The 24,227-nt window shown below is 53.7% G+C and overlaps 1 protein-coding gene and 1 long non-coding RNA gene across 9 annotated transcripts in view, besides 6 other annotated features; one reads left to right on the forward strand and one right to left on the reverse strand.

The window, feature by feature from the left end:
* Positions 1-835: an enhancer, noted in NCBI's record as "H3K27ac-H3K4me1 hESC enhancer chr12:31130578-31131412 (GRCh37/hg19 assembly coordinates)". NCBI's record gives its function as "activates a minimal SCP1, AML or CMV promoter by ChIP-STARR-seq in naive H9 embryonic stem cells {active_cell/tissue: H9 hESC(naive)}" and the evidence as "EXISTENCE:reporter gene assay evidence [ECO:0000049][PMID:30033119]".
* The window catches only part of TSPAN11 (tetraspanin 11), an 89,755-nt gene that overhangs the window by 50,895 nt on the left and 14,633 nt on the right, over positions 1-24,227 (forward strand). For 3 of the 6 annotated variants that reach the window (NM_001370302.1, NM_001080509.3, NM_001370301.1), the window contains 5 exons: positions 919-993; positions 1,924-2,028; positions 4,890-5,048; positions 5,422-5,508; positions 14,214-18,957. In NM_001370302.1, coding sequence (NP_001357231.1) covers positions 919-993; positions 1,924-2,028; positions 4,890-5,048; positions 5,422-5,508; positions 14,214-14,273 — 486 coding nt within the window. In that variant the 3' untranslated portion in view covers positions 14,274-18,957. Of the gene's footprint in view, positions 1-918; positions 994-1,923; positions 2,029-4,889; positions 5,049-5,421; positions 5,509-14,213; positions 18,958-24,227 lie in introns of those variants that run through there. The other 3 variants (XR_001748709.2, XR_001748710.2, XM_011520679.3) reach the window with 1 other exon arrangement.
* The window catches only part of TSPAN11-AS1 (TSPAN11 antisense RNA 1), a 27,665-nt gene continuing 4,103 nt past the window's right edge, over positions 666-24,227 (reverse strand). Inside the window, exons 2-3 of one of the 3 annotated variants that reach the window (XR_007063261.1) lie at positions 21,545-21,662; positions 666-1,033 (exon numbers count right to left, since the gene is read on the reverse strand). This is a non-coding gene — a long non-coding RNA (TSPAN11 antisense RNA 1). Of the gene's footprint in view, positions 1,034-9,091; positions 14,216-21,544; positions 21,663-24,227 lie in introns of those variants that run through there. The other 2 variants (XR_007063263.1, XR_007063262.1) reach the window with 2 other exon arrangements.
* Positions 2,930-3,431: an enhancer, noted in NCBI's record as "H3K4me1 hESC enhancer chr12:31133507-31134008 (GRCh37/hg19 assembly coordinates)". NCBI's record gives its function as "activates a minimal SCP1, AML or CMV promoter by ChIP-STARR-seq in naive H9 embryonic stem cells {active_cell/tissue: H9 hESC(naive)}" and the evidence as "EXISTENCE:reporter gene assay evidence [ECO:0000049][PMID:30033119]".
* Positions 3,432-3,931: an enhancer, noted in NCBI's record as "H3K4me1 hESC enhancer chr12:31134009-31134508 (GRCh37/hg19 assembly coordinates)". NCBI's record gives its function as "activates a minimal SCP1, AML or CMV promoter by ChIP-STARR-seq in naive H9 embryonic stem cells {active_cell/tissue: H9 hESC(naive)}" and the evidence as "EXISTENCE:reporter gene assay evidence [ECO:0000049][PMID:30033119]".
* Positions 8,453-8,502: an enhancer, noted in NCBI's record as "active region_6161". NCBI's record gives its function as "activates an Ori minimal core promoter by ATAC-STARR-seq in GM12878 lymphoblastoid cells {active_cell/tissue: GM12878}" and the evidence as "EXISTENCE:reporter gene assay evidence [ECO:0000049][PMID:35858748]".
* Positions 9,962-10,463: an enhancer, noted in NCBI's record as "H3K4me1 hESC enhancer chr12:31140539-31141040 (GRCh37/hg19 assembly coordinates)". NCBI's record gives its function as "activates a minimal SCP1, AML or CMV promoter by ChIP-STARR-seq in naive H9 embryonic stem cells {active_cell/tissue: H9 hESC(naive)}" and the evidence as "EXISTENCE:reporter gene assay evidence [ECO:0000049][PMID:30033119]".
* Positions 10,464-10,963: an enhancer, noted in NCBI's record as "H3K4me1 hESC enhancer chr12:31141041-31141540 (GRCh37/hg19 assembly coordinates)". NCBI's record gives its function as "activates a minimal SCP1, AML or CMV promoter by ChIP-STARR-seq in naive H9 embryonic stem cells {active_cell/tissue: H9 hESC(naive)}" and the evidence as "EXISTENCE:reporter gene assay evidence [ECO:0000049][PMID:30033119]".

Consider the following 24,227-nt stretch of genomic DNA (forward strand, 5'->3'; position numbering starts at 1 on the left):
GAGAGGGAGTCCCAACATGCCTTCTAGGCCTGTTGGCTCCTGCAAGCAGAGTTGGTCGAGCAGGGTCTCAGGAGCCCTCCTGACTGTGCAAGCCAGGTGGGAGTGAGAAGGAAGCAGGGCCCATGTCCTTCTACAGGTCACACTGAATGCACGGCTGGGAAGCCAGCAGCAGCAACAGGGCTGTGAGGTGGGAGAAGCAGTAATGAGAACCCCTGCAGGGCCATGTAGAACAGGAAATGGGCATCAGGGCTGAAAGACAACACAGGAATCACCTTCCCCTGGACCTCTGATTTGCTTTTTCCTGAGCCTTGGTTGTCACAGTCCACGCTGGTCCCTGCATTCCAACTACAAGGGCACTCTCCACTCCCTGAACACAAATGCCCCATGCTTCCTGCAGGCTCCAGGCTTTTCACTTGTTCTCCCCTCTTCCTGGAATGTGCCTCCCTCCTTCACTTAGCAAATGCCTATTCAGTCCTTAAAGATGTTACTTAGGCGTCACCACCTCCAGGAAGCCTTCTCTGACTGCCCACCCTACCAGGAGCCTCCCACCATTTCTAGAGCTTACCCTGTAGTTGCATTTGTAACACAGCATTGCAGTCACTCATCTGTCTTCCCACCATCAATAACTTTGAGAGCAATAGTTGTCTTACTTACGCTACCTGGCATCTGGCATATGGCATGTATTTAATACATATTGGATGGGTACATGCCGTACTGAATTGTCAGCAGACCAAAGAGGGAAGGAGTAAGTGGGGAACTTGGTGCCAGCAGCCAGTGAGGCTGGTACATCCAGGAGGAAGATGGCATGGATGATAGGGGTCCCAGCAGGTATCTCTACCACCCCCACCACTGTGGGGAAACATTTGTCATAGCAGCAACCCGATCCCAGTGGTGACCGTCCTCTCTCTTTGCTGCTAGTATTTCTGCCTGTTGCTCGTCATCTTCCTGGTTGAGCTGGTGGCGGGAGTCCTGGCCCATGTGTATTACCAGAGGGTAAGTGACGTTTCCTCCTCCTGCATCCTCTGTCAGTGTCCTGAAGAAGCAATGTGGGTAGGGAGGTTTGCATTGTGATGAGGGAAGCTGAGGAAGGCACAAGGGCGGTCCTGTTTCCCAGGCCCCGGCAATCCCCCTACATATCTGCATCCCAGCTGCTGGTCCTGGCTCCAGCAATTCTGTGCTGCATCTGTGGATGCTGATGTCTTCCACATGGGAGCTGGGGACGGGGGCTTCCCAAGGGACATTGCGTCATCCCTCTCCCCTTCCAAGAATGGTCTAGAGGATGAATCCATCTGTCAGAGACATCCAAGAAGAAAGGCCTGGGCCAGGGTCACATGCCAGACCCCGAAACAGGATCGGGCCTTGCCTGCCTGGATTAAGCAAGGATGGAGTGAGTCCTAGAGTCAGTCCTATCCACTCCCACCCTTGAGCCCTCTGAATCGGGGATTCGAGGTCATGACCATGGTGATGTTTGGCTGGTAGAGACAGTGCGACCCTGCTGGTTGTTTCAAGCCAGTGCTGCTATGATGCCCACAGGGTAACAATTATAAGTATTTTCAATATCACCTCATGATCACAGTTAAGATCAACAGACATTTCAAAGCACCCTGTGTCTGGCCTCACCACCGCCTCCCACCAGCTTCTGGATGTGACCCTTTACCTGAGCCATCTCCCCAGCCTCTCTCAGCTCTGCCCATCACACCTCTGCCCTAAGTTGGGGCTCAGTTTTTGTGTCTTCCTCTCCATAGCCATCTTCTACACTGTCTCTGGCTGATGGTCCCTTACGCTGTTGAGAAACCTCCGCATCACACCATCCACAGTCCGCAGTGTTCTAGAATTAGCTGGGGGGAGTTGGAAGTGGGCCCGGTGCCAGGGCAGGGGTGGGGCTGGTCCCGCTGATGGGGACTTCGCTCCTACCCTCCTCAGCTGAGTGATGAACTGAAGCAGCACTTGAACCGGACTCTGGCTGAGAACTACGGGCAGCCCGGAGCCACGCAGATCACCGCCTCAGTGGACCGACTCCAGCAGGATGTAAGCCATGCCCCATATGGCCTTGAAGGCCAAGCCCACAAGGATTCAAATCCCGACTGTTCTTTCCTTTCTGGGTGACCCTAGGCAAGTTACTTACCCTCTCTGAGCTTCAAATGTCACATCCTTAAAATGAAGCCTCTTTAGGGCACATGAGCATTAAACCTGGCCACATCTCTAGATGTCCCCACTGCCATGAAAACTACCTGTTGAAGCCTGGTTCCTCTCCTTCCCCGACCACCTCCTCCAGGCCCCACCCCTGCTGCCTTCCCGTTCTGGGGCCTCTGTGGCCAGGAAGCCGGCTGTGCCAGGAGAACTCCATCTCCTGCCAGGATCTGGGCCAGGAAGCTCCTCTCCAGGCTGCTTATATCCGTGGGGCTGCCTTCCTCCTTCCCCGGGGAGCTGGCTGCTGTGACTCCGTAAGAGTGAGCTGTAACCAGCGGAGGTATTTCAGTTAAGCTGCCGCAAGAACCCTCCAGTGTGAGCCATCAGACAGAATGCTGGGGGACAGAAAGGTTTTCTCCTAAGAAGACATGCAGCAAATCCCTCCAGGGACACCCACTGGCCTGACCAGACATAAGGGATGGGCAAATGGACCTCAGAGCTGTCCTGTTCAATACGGTAGTCACCACCCACATGTGGCTATTTTCAGCTCAATTAAATACAACATTCAGTTCCTCAGTTACACCAACCACATTTCTAGTGCTCATTAGCCCGTGTGTCTAGTGAGCTCTGATCAGACAGCACAGATGTAGGATGCTGCCTTCATTGCAGAACGTTCTCCTGGACAGCACTGCTCTAGGATCCGGATGTGTCCGTGTCAGAAAATTCAAGGCAGTGCCACCTGCCCACTCTGGTCCCCTTTCTCTCTGCCACCCCACTCCCCACCCCCACCCCCTGGACCTGGCTTGGTCTTGGCTCCGGAACGTCAGGCAAGTAGAGGTAGTAGATGTGGGGAGCTGTGAGCCCCAGCGGCGTCATGGATCAACTGGAAGGCCCCTCCCCATCTCTCCAAGACTCAGGCCCAGCTCCCAGTGGGTGCTTCAGGGAGTCGTCTCTTCTCTGAAATAGTGGCCCGGGACACGCATGTACACACAAGTGCACACCCACAGACACACTCGCACCCCATGGGCTTAGCTCAGGACCAGGAGGAGGCAGCACACACTGCTGGCCAGCCCTGTGCAAAACTAAGTGTGCACTCCACTCACTGGGCCTCACCTGTGAGGAAATGTGCTAGACAAAGAGGAACAGGACAGGATCCCTGCCCTCGGGGAAGCTGGACACACAGCAGGCGATGTGCATGCAGTGCAAGGCTGGGCCACCCTCAGAAGAGAGAGCAGCGCAGGTTGGGAGGGTTCCATGGGGCAGAGGCGGGGTTTGCTTAAGTGAAGAGGGTGGGAGTGGCAGGTCAGGGCCAGGGGCAGATGAGGAAAGGCACAACTGACAGCGAAGGCTGTGTCACTGACGAAGACCTGCAGGGTGTCTGTGCATGTGGACACGGCCCTCACACAGGCCAGAAACACTTAGAACCCCAGGCCACATCTCAGGCAGGAGACAGCCCTGAGAAAGCAGTGGCTGCAGAGCCAGGGCCAGCACCCGGCCCTCCAGCAGCAGCACGTGGATGTAAATGACAGAGACACACAAAGCTGTATTCACACAAGCGTGATGGTGGAAGCAGGTGTCTCTCCTTCACCACTGATGGCGCCGGGCTCTCTTCTAAGTGCTTTATATGAATCACCTCTTTCAGTCCTTACAACAGCATGGCATGGAGGTACTTTTGTTGTCTGCATTTTACAAATGACACAGCCATCAGGTGGCACCAGCACAGACCAGCAGAGTCACGTGGAATGTGCAGTTCCCGCGTGACTCCTTCTGCGCGCTGTGCCAGTCCCTGCTCTGTGTGCTGTCATGCTCTCCTCGACTCCGGGGGCCCCTGTTCATCCCTGTGGATTGTTCCTGGCCCTGGACAGAGCATTAACCCCTTCCTCCTCTGTGCCACACACAAGCTTCTGTCATCTTCTACCACGCGACAGTGGATGCTAAGCTACCCAAGGGTAGGCCCCATGCCTTACTCAAGTTTCTTCGCTCCAGGCACATAGTAGCTGCCTAGCAAACTCTTGTTAGCTGAACTAAACATACCTCCACCCCACCCACCTCCAGACATACACCAGCGACAGCCTCACAGCAGCCCTGTTCTCTCTCCTGTGTAGGAACTTTGAATCTCAGTGCCGCAACTGGGAAAGGCAAGAAGCAACCCATGTCCACTGTCTTGGAATCATTTTATATCTGGGCTGGTGCTTCCCTGCCCTGGGGTGGTACAGATGACCCCAGGTCTTAGCACTCATGACAGCCCCTCTGGTTGACACTGGTCTCCCAGTGCCATGGGCGGGTCTGGGGCTCTGAGACTTCAAAGCCTGAATGGGGGCCTGGGAGCCTCTGACCAGGCTAGATCTCTGTCCCCACGTCCTGACCCCTGGGTGACCAGGAAACTCCCCTGCCTTGTGGTTTTGTCCACCCTGGGCTCTGCCACCCAGTGGTACACAGCCTCACTCTCTGGGGACCCACCTCGCAGACCCGTCCTGCCCCCAAGACACCCAGCATAATCTCCTTAAAGGACTTGGGTGGCTAAAAAGCTGGCAAGCAGGTATCCTGCAGGCCATTCAGCAATGAGTCTGAGAAGGGCCCTGGCGTGACCAGCTCTCTGCTCAAAGCATGGGAAGGGAAAACACATTATACAAATACTAACTAACCATGGTTCGGGTAGACAAATAGGGGTTGGGTTAGTATTTGAATAATGTGTCCTGCAGCCTGGGACCCTACGCAGGCCTCTCACCTCCAGCCTCTGCCTCTGCCTCTGCCTCCAGTTCAAGTGCTGTGGAAGCAACAGCTCAGCCGACTGGCAGCACAGCACGTACATCCTGTTGCGGGAGGCCGAGGGCCGCCAGGTGCCCGACAGCTGCTGCAAGACAGTGGTGGTGCGCTGCGGCCAGCGGGCCCACCCCTCCAACATCTATAAGGTGGAGGTGAGCACCCAAGCTCAAGTTGGGGGTGAGGAGAGGGCCCTGGCCTGGCCGTTCAGGAGCCCCAGAAAGGCTGGGTCAGGCAGGTGGGTGTGGGAAAAGCAGGACACATGTGCTCCTTGGCCACGAGCCCACAGTGTCTGGGGCTTTCCAGAGTCTCTACAAAGCCCTGGGACAAGCAGCTCATACCGGAGAGTATAGGACACCATGGCATGCCCCTGGGGCCACTCAAGTAGCCTGTGAGCAATTCAAGGTTGGGTCCAGCCTGTGAGTCCTCTGGCCAGTCCTCAGCCTCTGCTGCAGTGACAGCCCGCCCTCCGTCCCCACCCATGCCTGCTCCTGGGCCATGGCCGCATCACCTGCCCTTCTCTTACAGGGAGGCTGCCTCACCAAGCTGGAGCAGTTCCTGGCCGACCACCTGCTGCTTATGGGGGCAGTGGGCATCGGGGTGGCCTGCCTGCAGGTGAGTTGCAGTGCGGGGACTGGTGGGGGTGGAAGGGCTCTGAACCCCTCTCCCATTGACACAGGTCTTCAGTAACCACCTGGGCTGAAATAACTGACCCTTTGCACACCCGCACCCTACCCTGCTCTCTTCTTCTCTCCCCTTCCCTCTGCAACCAAGGCTGAATCCCACGGTCAGTCTCTCCCCCAGAGAACATGAAGGAAAATAGCTGGGGACAACATGAACTTGTCAGGAACAGGGACCTGGGCGGAGTGTGAGTGTGGGCTCAGGTATGTGCATGCACCCCATGTGTGTGCACGTGGGGGTGAGCGTGCAAGCCATCTGTGGTACGTGTGTCTGCATGCTTCTGGGTCCATGTGGTTGGGGTTGTATGCACGTATATGTGTTTAGGGGTGCTTGTGCATGTGTGTGTGAGTGTGCACGTATCTGCATTCATTCCTTTGTGTGTGCATGTGTGTTTGTGTGTGTGTATAGTCAGTCCTCCATGTCCGTGGGTTCTGCATCCGTGAATTCAACCAACTGTAGATGAAAAATATTCCAAAAAATGGATGATTGCATCTGTACTGAACAACCTTGTCATCATTCCCTGGGTAATGCGATATATCGACTGTTTACGTAGCATTTACACTGTATGAGGTAGTATAAGTAGTCTAGAGATGAGTTAAGGTATTATATAGGGGAGAATGTGCATAGGTTATATGCAAATATTGCACCATTTTATATCAGGAATTGAGCATCCATGGATTTTGGTGTCCAGGGCAGTGACTGTGTGTGTGTGTGCCCTCATCCAGCTGTCTCCCTGAGGATGAGCAATGCCTTTAGCTCCCATTTCTCCCTGTACCCTCTCCCCTAGCTGCCACCCAGGAAGTCAGGGTGACACTCTTGGGTTACTCTAGTCAAGGGTCCGAAGGAGGGGAGCCAGGAAGGCCTCCTCAGCGGCAAGGGCCCCTGCAGTCCCCAGCTCACGAACACGCCTGCTTCCGCTCAGCAGGAGCTGAGTGTGGGCTGTCCTTCTAGGAGTCTTGCTGTCCTGCACAGCCCTTCCCACTCCAGGGCTAAGCACCATCTAGAGAAGGGGAGGAGCAGAGGCTTTGGCCTCAGAAGGCCCAGTTCCAGTCCTGGCTTTGCTCCTAGGTAACCTTGAGCTACCTAACTTCCCTGTCCATTGACTTCTTCATCTGCAAAATGTGGACCATTTCCCCAGCTCTTAAGGTCTAAGAATGAGGCGATGCCTGCAACCCACTTACGAAGTACCTGGCACATAGGAAGGCCTCCAGAATTGGAAGCTGTCTTTCTCCAGTTTTCTGTAGACTTCAGAGGATTTCTGATGCTTCCTCTCATTGGGTCCACACAACAACCTGAGACCCAGGCCAGACAAGGAGTAGTGTTCTTCGCTTTTTGCTTTTTTTTTTTTTTTTTTTTTTTTGCGCGACAGTCTCACTCTGTTGCCCAGGCTGGAGTGCAGTGGTGCCACCTCAGCTCACTGCAACCTCCGCCTCCCAGGTTCAAGCAATTCTCCTGCCTCAGCCTCCCAAGTAGCTGGGATTACAGGTGCCCACCACCACGCCGCCTAGTTTTGTATTTTTAGTAGAGGCTGAGGTTTCACCATGTTGTCCAGGCTGGTCTCGAACTCTTGACCTCAGGTGATCTGCCCACCCCAGTCTCCCAAAGTGCTGGAATTATAGGCATGAGCCATGGCACCCAGCTGTTCTCCACATTTTACAGATCAGAAAGTTGAGACCCAGAGAGGTGACTTACCCAGGGCCTCACACCCTGAACCAGCACCCAGGTCTCCTGGCTTTGGTTCTTTGCTTTCCCGAACTCCCTACCATGACACACAGATCTGTGGGAAAGAGAAGCAGGGGACAGTGGCCTTGGCTGGCTTGGAGATACTTCCAGTGCAGGGTCCTTGGAAACCATGGTGCCACCTACCCACATCATCTGTGGGCCTGGAAGGTCTAGCTGCAGCCTAACACACTGGGAGGAGGGTCCGTCGCCTCTGGAGGGACCCCCATCTTGGTTCTGCCATCTACAGCTGTGGACCTAGGGCCAGTTCTTTCATCTCTGAGTCTCAGTTACTCATTTGTAAAATGGGGCTAGTTATACCTTATCTGCTTGCCTGGTGGTGGGAATTAGCAATATCCATGTAAGTCACTTGGCTCATGGCTGAGCAGATAGCAGGTGTTCAATAAATGATACCCATCATTTTTATGATTTCTGCATTAGTACGTTGTCTCTCAAAAAAAAAGCTCTAGCTGTTCCTTGGCCAGACCAGCCTGCTCCCCATCATTCTCACTCAGCTGCAGGGCCAGGGAGCCCAGGTGGCATGAGCATTGCCCCTCTATTGCACTTCCCCAGGGCAGGCCTTCTGTCCTGTGTGCTGAACCCCAGAGGAGTAGTCAGTGGGAACAGGAGAAGGTACGCTCAGCAGCACAGAGCAGTTGAACTCTCCAGAAACCTGTTACTCCAGGTGTTGAGGGGGCCTGCTCTGTATGGACACAGACCAGGCCTGGGCCACTCTGTCCATTTCTTCTTCACCTCTCTGGCCTTGAGAGCCTGTAGAAGCTGCAGACGAGGGCAGTGAGGCTGAGGGCAGGGAGCAGGACTGCGGATGCCCAGAGCCGACGGTCAAGGTAAACCGCACAGCTGCATAAGTCTGATATTGAAGAGGTCAGGTTGTTGAGCAGTGCACCTGCAGGCCTGCCACTCCTCCTGCCCACTCAAAACCCCCACCATGCAGTCTGTTCCTTCGCCGTTGCTATGGAATGGCTTTTGGTGGCTCTCAACCTCTTGCCCAGTTTTCTCTGCTGTGGCCCACTGAGCCAGCCCAGGAGCGGCCAAGCCTCGGGTTAGGGCTCCCTCTGCCAGCTGACGCTGGGCACTACACTGCTCAAGTCCCAGGTGGGTCCTAAGCTTTGAGAAAGGGCTCATACCAGTCTCTTCCCCAGGGTCATAGTTTACCTCCTAGAGAGCAGACACCAGGCATTTATCTCCCCTACATACCCAGCCTGGCACTTCCAAGACCCCCAAGGCTCAGGAAATATCAGTCCAACATGGTGTCATAATGTTCCCCAGCCCCCAGCTACTGCAAGAAATCTTGCTTGGGAGTTACAGGGCCTGATTTCTAAACATAGCCCCACCTCTTGCTGTGTTACCTCAGGGAAATCTCATTCCGTCTCTGAGCCCTTAGTGTCCTTACCTGTAAAATGGACAGATTGGATATTTGTGAGCCTTTTTTAAGTAGCAGCATCCTCTTTTCAATGGAAATATCACGTAGGAGCCCAGTACATAAACCATAGGAGGTGGAGCTGTTTCAGGCAGGGACAAGCCTAGCATGACGGCCTCCCCTCACTGCCCTTGGTGGCCCTGAGCTACACTAAGGGTTTCCAATACAGCTTGAAAGCTGTGGGTCTAGCCCATTTCTATGGAACCTTCTGGATCTGGTGTTCTATGATTTTTCAGTAAGGTTCCCATCGCAGGAACCAGTGACCTTGAGACTGATGTCCTGCAACACCTGGAGTGTTAAAGCAGATGGTTTGTGAACACTGAAAACTAAGCAGAATATTTAATGAAGGGAGCACACCTTGATTTCAGCCAGGTATTTGGCAATGCATTCCTTGTTACCTTGTGGACGTGTGGACCAGGCACTTGTATGCTCAGGAGAAATCAGGGCAGGCTGGATGGCCACGCTGTGAGAGAGAGATGAGAGTTCACATCAGCTTAGCGAAAAGTCTCCAGGAGCGGGCCGTGGCCTTCAGCCTCAGACCTGTCTCTTCATTTTTCTTGGTGATCTCAACGAAGACCCAGGAAGCATGCTAAACTATTTACCTAGCATTTCTGGTCTGTTGTATGATAAAGCCAGCATTGAAAAAAGAGCTCGTTGGATATGAAGATGTGCTGAAACGAAGGGTAAAACCTTTAATAGAGTTAAAGTCCTTGCACTTGAGCTTTGTTTTGTTTTGCACTTAAGCCTGTAACAGAGAGAGGGCATCTGCCTGAGTTACATGATAGGGTGCTGCCCACAAAGATGTGGCCTGGAACTGCACTGGTAGAAATCATGGAGAGAGTCAGGGTGTGGGAGGTGCCAGCTCAGGCCACCCTCCAGGTGGGACCAGACCTCCGCAGAGCCCCAGGGCAGTGGTCCTCAACCTTGGCTGCACAGTGGGATCACCTGACAAGCTTTAAAACTACCCCAGGCCTGTAATCCCAGCACTTTGGGAGGCCGAGTCAGGTGGATCATGAACTTAAGAGATCAAGACCATTCTGGCCAACATGGTGAAACCCCGTCTCTACTAAAAATACAAAAATTAGCTGGGCATGGAGGCGCGCGCCTGTAATCCCAGCTACTCAGAAGGCTAAGGCGGGAGAAACGCTTGAACCCAGGAGGCGGAGGTTGCAGTGAGCCTAGATCATGCCACTGCACTCCAGGGCGACAGAGTGAGACTCCGTCTCAAAGAAAAAAAAAATACCCCAGGCCTGGGCTCCCCGCAGCAAAATGAAACAAAATGGTCTGGGGCTGGCACCTGGGCATCAGTGTATTCGTGAAGCTCTCTAGTGATGCCACTATGCGGCCAGATGCAGAGGGAGTGGCAAGGGGAGTGTGGGGCCCAGAAGTCAGATGTGAGAGAGGTCAGGAGATGGGGAGCAGATGCAGCACCCTCGTGGTCTTGAAATGCCCAAGGCAGTCATGTGGGGAAAGGAGGGACTGTTCCTGGGAGGTTCCAGAGGACAGAAGGGGAACAGTAGGTGGAATTATTTTCAGGAGACACATTCAAGAACTTTTTAACAATTTGAATTGCTAAACAGTGGCCCTTGCAGAGTACTAAACTCCCTGCGGCTGCAGGCTGGGGCAGAGGCTGGGGGCCGGCAGGGATGCTGAAGGGAGAATCCCCTGCACTTGATCGGCAGAGGCCCCTCCATGCTGAAGTTCTGCATTCCGGGAGTGCACCTATCCCCTCAGCAGGGGCCCCCCAGGCTTCTCACCCACCTCAGTCATGGAACAGCACACCAGAGGCAGTTTCAGACCTGGACAGGATCATCACAGTGCTGAGGTACCACCCGATCAGACTCTTCCACCTGGAAAGGCCTTACAGACTACCTGGACCAGAGCCACCGGCCCTGGCTGCATGCTAGAGTAGAGTTGTTTAAATACCATTGTGGCCAGGTGCAGTGGCTCACGCCTGTAATCCCAGCACTTGGGAGGCGGAGGCAGGGGGATCACAAGGTCAGGAGATTGAGTCCAGCCTGGCTAACAAGGTGAAACCCTGTCTGTACTAAAAATACAAAAAATTAGCTGGGCGTGGTGGTACGCGCCTGTAATCCCAGCTACTCGGGAGGCTGAGGCAGGAGAATTGCTTGAACCCGGGAGGTGGAGGTTACAGTGAGCCAAGATTGTGCCACTACACTTCAACCCTGGGCGACAAAGCAAGACTCCATCTAAAAAACAAAACAAAAAAAAAACCACACACACATTGCTCTGGCACCCCCTCCACAGACTGGCTTGGATTGTCTGGAGTGGGCTGAGGTCTGTGCACGGGTATTTTTAAGCCTCCCAGCTGGGTCAAACATACATTCGGGGTTCAGAGTCCCCGGGCTCATCTTATTCATGCACATCTGAAGACATCAAGCCTCACCAGAAAGTCACCTGCTGAAGGTGACACAGCCGCTGTGGCAGAGCTGGCCAGGCCTCCAGCTCACAGGCCTGCTTCCTCTGCACCAGCTTCCCCTCTTGTGGGTGGAATCTGGAGGCACTCCACTTTGAGGTAACTTTAGAAGCTAATTTCTAGAATATTCTGGCTGGGGAACATTTCACTAAAAATGTCACAGTAGCCCAGCCCTTTTCCTGCAGCCCTCCTCACATCAGCGTCCTGGGAGCCTCCGCCCAGGGGGCCGGCAGAGGAGGCTGTGTTTACTTTGGAACAGAGCTGCTGTGTGCCAGGTGCTGTGCCCAGTGCCAGGGCCACATTGCAGGCAGAGTGCCGTCCCTTCTCCCAGGGAGATTTTACTTGAAGGAAGGGGACAGGTAAGTGTATGGCAGTCACAGTGCAGTGCTAGGTGCTGTGTTAGCAGGAGTCCTTGGGTTTAAGAAGCAAACATCAGTGGCCCTAACCAGTCACGGGAGGTCAGGGAAGGCTTCCTGGAGGAAGTGATATCTCATTAAGTCCTGAAGGAGCCCGATAGGCAATGACAGAGGGGAAAGAGCCAGGGTGAGGGAATAGCGTGTGCAAAGCCCTGGCTTGCAGGTGGGGAGCGGGGGTCTTTATCCTGCCTGGCCTCTCAAAGGATTGGGGTGTTGGAAGGACTGGGTGCTGTGCTGTTGGTTCTTGTTATTCTAGTTTTTAAAGAATCTTGCCAAGGAAGACCCTAGACCAGTGTACAGACCGGATGTTTTCCTATTGGCAGAGGGGGATTTGAGGCTCAGAGAGGGAGGTAACTTTACCCAAGATCACACAGGCCACTGGTGCAGCCTCAAGTAGAACCTAGCCCACCTCCAACATGCTCAGCTTGCAAGATGGTAACATGTCTCAGAACATGGAAAACACAAGACAGTCAAGACTGGGATCTGCAGGTCATTAAAAGGGAAACCAATCATTTTGGAATGACTTCTCAGAAGCTCTGTGGCCCTTCCTTCATGCTCTCTGCTGACAGCCAGGTGCTGACTCAGAAGCCTCAGAGGAAGCTGAAGGCAGGACGGCCTCCCTGTTAAAAATGTCCCATGTGTGGCCAAGTGTCACACACAGGCAGCTGCCAGAAGATAGCACCAGGCACCATGTGGCTGGGCCTCCAAGCCGGGCCCAACCCCATCTGCCACCTCCAGCACCTGCGGTTAGCTGGCCTTGTGTTGTCTCTGTGTGCCCCCTGTTGGCTGCTGGAGCCATCCGTGCTGGTTTCTCAGTGTCCTCTGTCAGGAGGGAGATGGCAATGCCTATTCAGGAACCAGACTGGGTGGCATCCTGTACCCTCCACATGCTTCAGCGTGGTGTTCACGTGTGTGTGTGTGTGCAAGTGTGTGTGTGTGCATGTGGACGCAGTGATGAGGGTCTGGCCCACACACCTCTGCCCCTTACTGTGCCTGTCCTGGGAGGCTCGCTGGGAACACCCAGCTCACGCAGGAGCCTGTCTGCTGGGGAGTGTGGCCCCTCCAGTCCTCCCCCAGCAGGAGACGTACATTGCAGGCGATGCAGACATGGTTTCCAGCACAAACCTGTGCCGGTCAAACAGCTCCCTTCTGGCCTCCCTCTTAGCACAGATAAGATCCAGAAAATCCCACAGGAAAATCATCAAACCATGAGGTAGGGAAACCTGCATGGGTGGAACGGCATGACGGCCGCCTGCGTAAAGCTAGCGGGAGATGAGATAACCTCCTAAGCCGCCTTTCAGCCTGAGGCCCCAGGTGGATTAACACCAAGTCTGCAGGCTGAAAGCAGTGTTCACACTCCACGCTGTCCTCCAGGTTGGGAGGGATGGAGAGGAGGAAGGAGGGGAAGAGGATGGGCCCCTTCCACACTACCTCCCCCAGCTAGCTGTCAGAGACAGTACAGGACACACGCATCTCCACCAGCCTGCTCTCCTCCCACTGGATAGAGCTCCACCTGCATCCAGGTTTGCACCGGCAAGGTCAGGGCAGCAGCAGCTGCTAGGAAAGTCAGGACACTGTTTCAATACTTAGGAGAGCCACCTTCACCCCAGGTATCACGGGACAGTCATGGGGCTGCTTTAGCCCAGTGCCCCCTCCTGTGTGCAGAGAGCCAAGATCCAACAACATGTCATCATCATTATCAGGATCATAATCACATTACCCTCAATGCATCCTTGGGTGGGAGGGAGGAGAGGAAGAGGAGGAAGAAGGCAGAGGAGGGCCCATGAAGAGCAAGGAGGGAGAATAAAGCTCCTCTGCATTCTGGAAGTGGGAGAAGTGAGAAGGCGGTGTGCAGGGTGATCCTCCCAGGCCTGTGTCTGCTTTGGACCAGATGCTCCAGCCCCTTGTTCAGCTGTGGATACCGACAGAAGGGCTGGCAGACAGGACGCCTGGGGCCTGAGCTTGGTGCTGCATTCTACACTGATTGACAGGGTGAGCTCACCAGCTCTTATTCTATGCTGACTGACAGGGTGACAGCTCAGGAGGCTCTTCCCAGAGTCTCAGTTTCCCCCATGGCTCCTGTACACCAGCCAGAGCATCGAAGATGGACCTGAGTTTTGCTCTAGAGTCTAAGGACAGCAAAACACAGGCAGACTCTTTCCTAGAGAGACAGTCCACTTCAGACAGCTCTGATGAGGGAGTGGAAACATTACTCTTAGGGCCTAATTAAATCAGGCCATCTCTGGAGAAGATCTAGGACCACAGACCAGCAGCATCAACTGGGAGCTTGCTAGGAATGCAGACTCTCAGGCCGCCACTAGGCCTGAAGAATTGTAATAAGGAGGTCCCCAGATGATTCATGCCCATTAAAGTGTGCAAAGCCCTGCTCTTGGATAGTAGATGGCAGAATGTGGTTCCCCCAGGCACACCACCATCACCTGGGAGCTTGTCAGAAATGCAGAACCTCAGGTCCCACCCTGACATTTTGAGCAGTTTTGAGCAGGAATCTGCCCTTTGCCCAGGCCCCAGGGTATTCGAGTGAGCAGCACTGCTCCAGGGCCCTGAGGGCCGGCAGCTTCCAGGAGTTCTGATTTCTCTTTGCTCCTCTGCTCTCTCCACCTGGCAGATCTGCGGGATGGTTCTCACCTGCTGCTTGCACCAGAGGCTCCAGCGGCATTTTTACTAATGGCCAACCACCTCCTCTTCCAACTGCCCCTCAAGACAACATGTGGCCACATGCCATCTGCAAGGCCTGCAGAGTTAGCACCAGCTCCACTAGGGCCATAGATGCCCCCTCCTTTGTGCCTAGCTCCTGCGAATCCACCGAGTGCCTGAGACCATAGCTTCTGTGCCCACCCAGGCAGAGACCCTCGGCCCCCTCTCCTCCATTTCTGAGCCCCCATGGCCAGATCCTGGGCAGGGAAATGATCCTTTCAGGAGACAACCAGAGCCCCTCACCAGGAACGGGGGCACCCGTGGACTACGGGAGGGTGGCGGTTGGGTTCTCTGCTCCCTCCCAGCTCCTGAACCTGGAACAATCGGCAGAAAACCCAGGAACCCCGGCACTCCTGCATTCAGCACGGGATTCCCCCACCCATGCCCAGAAGCCCTGACCTTGCTGTTTCTGGAAAAAGCATGGGGTGGGGCAGGGAGGGCTGGCATTTCCCCCAGAAGACCTTGCCCTTTGACCTGCCCACTCTCCACACTGCCTCACCTGGAAAGCCATGTCCTGCTGGCCTCATTCCTTCCTGAAGGGCCTAGGAGTGGGGAGGCCTGGGTAGGGCAGCCACAGGCTGGGTAGAGCCGCCCTGGCAGGAAGCAGGGGGTAAGGTGGCCATACCAGCACATGCTGCACTAGGAGCAGAGCCCTGCACCTGCCTAGCTGCCTTCCTGGGAGAAACCTCCCTGGGAGACCATGGCCCCAAGCCCTGGCCTCTAGTGATACGCCCCTCGGGAATCTCCTGTTCCGGGGCCTGATTCTCAGGAACACCAGGTTTCAGACCATCTTCAGCACCTAATGTTGATGGGTGTCAAACATCTCCTGGAGTGGACCAACTCGCAACCCTGCAAAGTCGGAGCTGCTGAGAAGGGGCAGCTCTGAATAGAGGGGCATCTGCCTGAACCTCACTTTTCCTGGGGCCCTCTCCTTGACCCCGTAGCCACCACCACACTGCTTCCAGGGGGTCCAGCTCTGCTTCCCTTCCCACCTGTCCTAGAGTGGACAGAGCTTTTTCCTTGGGTTCTCTCTTGCATCACTAAGTTCAGCAGGGAATTTGCGGAATTTTCAGGAAGAACTTTCCCCAGTAATAAGGGAGAACAGAAAGAAAATCCTAGAAAATACAGAGTATCCATGCTGGCAGCTTTTTGTACAACACCCATAGGGACCCCCCCAAATGGCTATTACAAAGGGGCAGCCCATTCACTACACAAGAACCCCACACCTGGCTTCCACCCTCCCCAGCTCCTGCACTTCTCCCCAGAGCGGGACCCTCTTACTTCCCCCCATGAAGGGGGGCACCTTGTGCTAAGGCCAAGGCTGAGCGAGGTCCCAGCTCACCTCCCTGCTTGATCCAGATTGCACTGTGATGAGCACATTGCTGACCTAGGCCAGTCCTGGGGCAGGCGTGCTCTCTCTCCCATACATAGGAGTGGCCTCAAGGCCACCCAGTGCTGACCCCAACAGAGCCCTGAACTGTCCAGAAACTGCATCCTCAGCACAGGAAGTACCCACATGGACAGAGGGAAGCCCAGCCTCGGGGCCGGTTGCCTCCTCTTCTCTGGGTGTTCTCCAGTGGCTTCTTGGAGCCTAGGCTGGTTTATCTCCCCTGCCTAAAAGGCCCTGGGGTTGCCAATGCAAATTCATTAAAACGAAGACCAGATATCCCAGACTGCACAGAGGCCGAGAGAAATGGTATAGTGCGTGATTAGCATTGCTGCCCTCCAACCTCCTGGGATTCATGCAGATAATCAAAAACTGACTATGACTCCCAAGTTCTCTGAAGGATGAGATCACAACTGACAACTCTTACGACAGAGGGAGAGTGGTGAGAGAGAGAAAGAGGGTACTGGGCTAGAGCCATGTTCTTCCTGCCGAGGTGCCAGGGGGAGGCGGCAGTGGGCAGGGGGTGCTGGGGCCTTACCTGTCTGCCCTGGTGGGGATGAAAGACAGGTGACAGGCAGGTGCCCTGTGCACAGCCTTATCATTGAAGGCAGGCCCAGGACAGCCTGCCCCATCTGCCCCAGCCCCATGGGATGGTTGGTCCAGCCTGACTGGGGCAGGATTAGCTGCAATTCCTGCCCTGTGTGTCGTCCAGCCAGACTGCCTCTTGAAAGATGGCTTGTCCAAGCGGCAGACAGTGGTAGAACAACCCAGGGCTTGGAAATCTGACCTCCTTGTCCATGCCAACAGCCTGGGAGATGAGACAGGGTTAGAGGAAACAGAGGCCCAGGATACGGCAGGTTCTGCCTGGGAGTGTACAATGGTTGGAGTCCAGAGCCAACGATGTGGTCCCCAGCGGGGTGTGCCCCTCCTGCTGACGAGGGTACAGATCCATACCCAGGTCAATTCCTCCCGGGCCCCTGTTTGGAGGCTGCTACAGCCTTGAGTTCCTTGGAGAGAGAGGACACGCCTGTGGAATGTCACCTTCAGTCCCGTGCAGGCAAAAGGCCCCTGCACACCAGGGCCCTAGGAAAGCAGCATCAGGTGCTGGGATCCCACCCAGCTGGCACGGGCACGTTCTTGCCCTGCACACTCCATGCTGCCCTTCCCTGAGCTCGCAGGGGCAGACACCAAGAGAAGGGCGCGTCCCCGAGTCCCCTGGGTGACCTGTGTCAGGACAGCAGGCAAGAATGAAACGTGGCCTTGGCTGACGGGTTGGAATATTTGTGACCGTTCTTGTCTTTCTCCCTCCTGCTTCCCCGGCACCCTAGCCCCATCTCCAGGAGCCCCTCAGGCAGAGTAAGTGGGGAGTGTGTCCAGGGATTTTTTTGTGTTTACCAAGGTCCTGCTGTGCACTTAGAATCTGTCACCATAAATACTTATCTCGCAGTTACCCCAGCAAGAGGGTGTTATTTCCCCCATTTTATAAAAGGAAATTAAGGCTGGGCAAAGTTAAGACTTGCTTGTCAGTGGTCATGGCTGTTGTCTTGCCACCCCCAGCTGGGGAGAAGGAAGAAAACTGGGCCGGGAACCCCTCCCCTCAGTGTCCCCCAGTTCTCCATCTCCATAAGGAGCCATCAGGCTGTCATTAAGGAACAGAGTGTCACTCAGGGGGCACTGTCACAAAGCAGCACCCATGGCACATGGGCCGGGGGTGCAGAAGCCTGGCTTATTTCAGGCTGACAGCTGGACCCTCTGGGTGCAGGGGCTCAGGCAGTGGCCAAGAGCCCAAAGGGCTAAGGCCCGTGACGACCACCCAGCCCGTCACCCCAGGTACAAACACTGACCCCAAAGCAAGAGCAGGGACTGTCCCTCAGCCCTCAGGGCCTTCATGCAGGGTGCAGAATCTCATGTCCACATGGAGGTCACCCCTCAGGTCACACCCACTCCCAGAGCAACCCTGGGCAGGGAGGGGCACCCTGGGGTTGTGTTGACCACCTCCCCTTCAGGTGAGGCCCTTTTCTGCCTTCTTTCTAGCCCCCTGCATGGGGCACCTGCTATTGCTGGGGCTCTGGGGTGGACCCTGTGTGATTTCTGTCAGGGAGCTTGTGCTGTGCATGGCCAGAGGTGTTTACATCCAGAAGGGCCCAGCACGGCCCTGTGGGGTGTGGGGGGAATATGGTAGATCATTGTGATGTGCCTCGGGGCCCTCTTGCCTTGGAGCCAGCTTTGTTTCAGAATCTGCTACTTGGGCCCTCTTCAGGGTTTTGAGGCTGGAGAAGTGAGTTGGGACAGTCACTGTCATCACCACCCACCCTGTCACCCACCTGGAAAACATTCTTGATATACTGGCCATGCTGGGCCGGGCTCACATCCACTGAGGGTATAGTGACCAAGCGTCTAAACCAGTCGTTCTCAAACTTCGGTGAGTATCAGAATCACCTGGAAGGGCTTTTACAAACAGATTGCTGGCCCCACCCCCCAGAATTTCTCATCAGGAGTGGGCAAGACCAATCATTTGCATTTCTGACAAGTTCCCAGGAGCTGCAGCTGCTGGCCCTGGAACCACACTTTGAGAACCACTGCTTTAGACCAAACACCAAAGGAAGATGCAGCCACCCTCCTTTACATGTCACAACGCTCAGGGTCCATGAGTACCTCAGGCTGTCCAGCTGAGCTCCACCTGCAGCAGCCGAGATTCCCGACTCGCTCCACCATTGGGGGCTAGGAGTGAAGCGTGTCACCATGGTCAGCTCATGGCCAGCCAGGAAAGCCTCTCTGCTGTGCGTCTGTGCAGTTCTTGTTCTTCCCTGGAGGACTCTTGGATCGCCTGTGATCTTGGCCAGGAGACCAGGTGCCTGGGTCCCTTCCTGGAAGGGGACAAGTTACACACCCCAGCCCCATTTTCCCACCAACTTCTACATGCCTTGGGAGAACCTGCTACATGTTGGCTGCCCCCTTCCCCTATTTCAGCAGTGCCCAGTCCTGCTTATAAACCTGAGGCCTGCTCCCCATACCCTGCCCTGTGCAAGTGCCAGCCGTTATTCCAGGCAGCCCAATGTTGTTGAGGCCAGATGGATTCCTGGAAGCAGCTGGCCCATGGATGTGAGTCATCACAGTATTCTAGAAACAGAGAAGAGGTCTTAACCTAATGCGCATAGAGAAATTGTTCTCATTGTAAACATACCCCTGTCCTTAGCTGATCTAGGTGGAAGCCCAGCTTCATGTGCTAGGGGGCATGATAATGATAATAAAGGAATTGTATCTAGGACTACCTTCTGTTGAATTTTTTTCTCCTCTGCAAGGAACCCCCAGGCCATCAGTTCATTAAATGTACCATGACCCACGGCTACATCGTGAAGCTGCTGTGTTAGCCACGGCTCCCCTATGAGTAAACCATTGGCCACATTGGATAGGGTCCTGCTTACCCTTTTTTTGTCAGCCCTCATCACTGATGTGTTTGAACTGACTTCTCCTGCTCACAAGTGTCATTAGCTCCTGGCTGCAAAGGACAGCCAGGCTCAAACACATGTACTTAAATTGTATTCCTCTTCAGGCTTCCTCCCTTCAGTCAGTCCATGTTTTCCTACCATTTACCATGACACACAACCAGCATCTGTTCATGAACCTGCAGTGAGCTCTTACCACTGCAGGCGCCACCCTCTGCTTGGCTGCAGCAGATGCAGAGTGTGGCGAAAAGTCAGGAGCAAGGGGGCTCTGTCTGTTGAGACACACACTCCTACTGCAAGCCTCACCCCCAGACCAACTCACTCTACTGTGACAGGGTTTCTCCACCGTGGACCAGCTGATTTGTCCTCATCCCCAAACCTGGAGTTGGACATGTTTTCATTGCAAATGCAGAAAGATAAATCTTTGCTGAGGGGACCAGTAGTTGCCCAGTCCAGAGCTAAAAGGAAGTACATGTTTTTGTCTTCTATAATATAAAACGGTCATATTATTTCATTCACTGTTCTGTCTAGAAAACTTGCTTGAGAGGTGGTGTATTCATTTGTATTCACACTGCTAAAAAGAACTACCTGAGAGTGGGTAATTTATAAAGAGAAGAGGTTTAATTGACTCACAGTTTCACAGGCTTAACAGGAAGCATGGCTGGGAGGCCTCAGGAAACTTATAATCATGGCAGAAGGCAAAGGCGAAGGGGAAGCAGGCAACTTCTTCACATGGCGGCAGGAGAGAGAGAGTGAGGGGATAGGTGCCACACACTTTTAAATAACCAGATCTCATGAGAACTCACCTTCACGAGAACAACAAGGGGGAAGTCCGCCCCCATGATCCAATCACCTCCCACCAGGCCCCTCCCCCAACATTGAGAATTACAATTTGACATGAGATTTGGGGGACACAGAACCAAACCATATCAGGCAGTGAGGAGCCTGAAGAGTACTCAGGTAGTCTGGGCTCAGGGGGATCCCCAGACAGAGGGCTGGGGGTGGTCAGGGGGGTGGCTGAGAGCTGACCCACACAGCTGCTGTGAACCCAATAGGGCCCTGCCACTTGCGGTGTAAGCACATTGATCCACCCGGGGAGGTCCCCAGGCAGGGACCCACTTTGCAGGGGAGCTCCAGTCGCTCTCCTGTGTCTGCAGGGCCTCTTTGGTCAAGGTCCAGTTGTCCACTGAAAGGTCATAGCAGCGGCCTTCTGACTGTTTAGATGTTGGGCAAGGGAATGGAGCCAGCCTAGGGCATGCTCACAGTCATCTGTCCCACTGGAGTGAGTTGCCTGCTCCCCTCCACCATCACTATGAGTGTGTGCGTGTGTGTGTGTGCAAATCATCCAACACGAATGTACCAAGAAGGGACAGGTGCCCTCCAGGCCCTTTCCTGCTGCAAATAGGCAGTGCTGTTACTGGCTTACAACTGCTGCCTACACAGCCCCAACAGCCAACAAGAGCCTTGTCAGCCAGGCAGGCAGCATGATGCCATTGCTGAAGCTGTGCCTTTGGTGGCTGCTGGCTGGCCTGCCAGCTGCCACTACTTCCCAGCAAGTGCTGATGCCTCATGTCAGCCCCAAAGACCAAGTTGTCATTGCTGCCTCTGGGTGGGGACGCTGGTTCCCACTGCCTCTCCATGGCTGAAGAGAGAGAGGCCACCCATGGGAAGGAGAGGACATGGGGCAAAGAGCCATTTTCTTCTTAAAAGCAAATGCATGACAAGCCCCTATTTCCTTTTCCCTCTGGCTTCAGTCTCTAGCTGAAACCCTGTCTGGCAGTGGCTTGAGCAGAAAGGGGAGGATCCTGCCGGGCACCTGGTGGGGGCCTTTGCATCAGGCCAGAGGACAAGAGGGAAAGAGTGAAGTGGGAATCCAGCCCTTTCCATCAGCAAGGAACGTCACTGCAGTAAGGACATAACAACGTCACTGCAGTAAGGACATAATAAAGCCAGCCAGAGGCAAGAACATTAATGTTCCCGTGATGGGGATGAGGAGCAACTTCCGCTGGACTTTTAAAACACACTGTAGTTCACGAAGCCCAAATTCTACTTTAGAGAACCCTGAGTTAGGGGCCAGAGGTCAAATTCAACATCCTCTCCCCAAGTTGCCCGTTGGTAAATAAGAAGGTTGGGTCATTTTAGGAACTGGGGTCTCGCCAGAGAAAAGAAATATATTGAGAATATACAGATGCTCCTCAACATATGATGGGGCTACATCTTGATAAATACATCGTAAGTTTAAAATATTGTAACTAAGTTAGGCGTGTTGGCTCACGTCTGTAATCCCAACACTTTGGGAAGCTGAGGTGGGAGGATTGCTTGAGTCCAGGAGTTCTAGCCTGGGCAACATAGGGAGACCCCGCCTCTACAAAAAAATAAACAAAATTGGCCGGGCATGGTGGCACATACCTGTGGTCCCGACTGCTATGGAGGCTGAGGTAGGAGGATTGCTTGAGCCCAGGAGTTCAAGGCTGCAGTGAGCCGTGGTTGCACCACTGTACTCCAGTCTGGATGACAGAGCAAGACCCTGTCAACCAAAAGAAAATAAAAAAAAGAAAAAGAAAGAAAGAAAGAAAAAGAGGAAAGAAAAGAAATAAAAGAAAATATCAAGAAAGAAAAGTCAAAAATTCATGTTAAATACACCTAACCTACCAAACATCATAGCTTAGCCTGGCCTACCTTAAACGTGCTCAGAACAATTACATTAGCCTACGTTTCAGCAAAGTCATCTAACACAAAGCCTATTTTATAACAAAGTGTTGAATGTCTCATGTAATTTATTTAATACTAGTTTGAAAGTGAAAAACAGAAATGGTTTTTGTATGGGTACTGAAAGTACGGTTTCTACTGAATGTATATGGCTTTCACACCATCATAAAGTTGAAAAATCATAATTTGAACCACCATAAATAGGGTACCATCTGTCTTGGGATTCCAGAAATTTGCCCACTGGTTGGACTGGCCCTGCTCTGGATGTTGGACATGGGTAAGTTCCAGAACTCGGTAACCAGAAGAAAAATTTCTAAGCAACAGGTACTAACCACAGGCCACTGTGCAGCCTTCCTCTACCAGTTCACCTCTCTCCTCTCACAGGGCCAAGGGAAACTAGGCAGTGTCCAGGTCTGTCCCCGCTGGCTCTCGGCTATCTGATAGTCTCTGGAGCCACAAAGGGGAAGTCCCGAATAGCAGCATCAATCAGCAGAGCTTGGCTCAAATGTGCCCTGTGGAGTGTTGTTACTCTTTCTGTTAGCTTGAGGAGACAATAGGCTGTCTCATGGCTGTCATTAAACTCAGCAAAAGCAAGATGGCTAAATCCATAGCCTCTCAATTGATGAATGCTTTAAGAAGAGACCATCCCAGTGCCAATATCTTTGAGTCCAAAATGACATTTATTTAATCTGGCTTCCCCCTTGCTTCTGTGGAATATTGAGTGCTGCTGCTGAGCTAACCCAGAGCAAACTGAGGCATGGGGAAGCTTGTTCTCTGAGCTCCTGCAGGCAGCAGCTCATCCACCTCGATACACCAACTCCCCTTCCCTGACCACCCCCTTCCCACACCACTCTCCTGTATCCCCGGCTTTCAGCCTGGAGGATGCTCTTCCTTGGGGACCTGATTTTAATTTTTTAGGGACTCATGTCTGACCGATTTCTTGCCAAGCTCCTATCCTGGTCTAGGAACAAGCTGGACGCCTCTATACGCATGCTTTTATTTAATCCCCACAGCCACTCTGTAAAATAGGCATTATTCTCATTTTGCAGATGACAAAACCAAGACAAGTTCAATGACTGCCCAAGGTTCACATGGACACCAAAGGCAGAGTGGGAATTTAACCCAGGTTCTCCAACTCCCAAACCAGTGCCCTTTCCATCCGCACCACAGTTCATGTCTAACGGTGAAAGTTCAAGGGTGGTGACGGCTGATAAGATAGTTTTTGTCTGGAGGAACCTCGATAATGTTTTGCAAGCTATGAAGCTCAATACACACAAAAGAAGACGTTTAATTACACCATGCTGGTCTCTGCCCTCTCCTGCACAGGAGCACTGAGCCCAGAAAATCCATTCATCCATCCATTTGGTACAAACAATAAGTCATCTTCCTGTTTATGCTGGATGAATAGCAAAAATGCTGCCTCTCCCACCAATAAATCTAGTTAACCACAAAGGCTGTGCATCTCTCAGATCTGCTGGCTTTGTCTCCACCCCACTGCCCTTCCCTGTGGCTCTATCATCTCTCACCTAAATCACTGCAGCGCCTGTGCCTGATCTTCCTGCAGCCTCCCCTGTCCCTCTGACCACTCTTCACACTGTAGCTGCGGCCAGCTTTCTAAAGGCCAGATCTGAGCCCATCACATTTGGGCTGAAAACCTCTCCATGGCTCCCATTGCTCTCAGCCTAAACTTCAATGAAGCTCCTTGACCAGGTTTTCAAGGTTGTGATCTGGCAGTGTCTCCAGATAGTCCCGCTTCACCCTCTGTGCTTCAACTCTGTGGACCATGTCCATCCACAGGACACATCTCCTTCCACTCCTTGCCAGGTTAACTAACACATCCTGTCTTCAGCTCTTAGCATCAACATCACCTCCCCTGGAGGGCCTCCTTCTCCCCAGGTTGGGTCACTGCCTCTCCCACACAGCCAGCCAGCATCCTGTGAATATAATCATCAGCATTGACCTGCAATCATGTTCACTCTTCTGGGGCCCCTACTGGATGATTGGCCCTGCAAGCACAGGTACTGTGTCTGCATCTTCCTTGACTGTTGTCTAGGTGCTTGGCATGAGTTACTTGAGTATTCAGTAAGTCTGAGCCAATAGACATTTGTGTGTGCCGGCACCAGTGTTAGCCACTTGAAGGGCTGGCAGGGTTCTGCCACAGCTCGTAAGCCACCCTTTCTCAATTGTGCTTTGCTGAGCACCAGTGGGGAGGCAGTTCCCCCACCACATCACACAACAGTGAGGGGGCTCCCAGAGTCATCCCAGCCACTCCCATGGACTGAAGAGCCCAGATCCATCCCAGAAGGCTCTAGCACAGTCACCAGATGTCCCCAGGGAAGGAAGATGACCCTCTCATATACAGCCAGGGCAGCCTGTCTTCCAC

This window comes from Homo sapiens, chromosome 12 (genome assembly GCF_000001405.40).
Source record: "Homo sapiens chromosome 12, GRCh38.p14 Primary Assembly".
Lineage (NCBI taxonomy): Eukaryota > Metazoa > Chordata > Mammalia > Primates > Hominidae > Homo > Homo sapiens.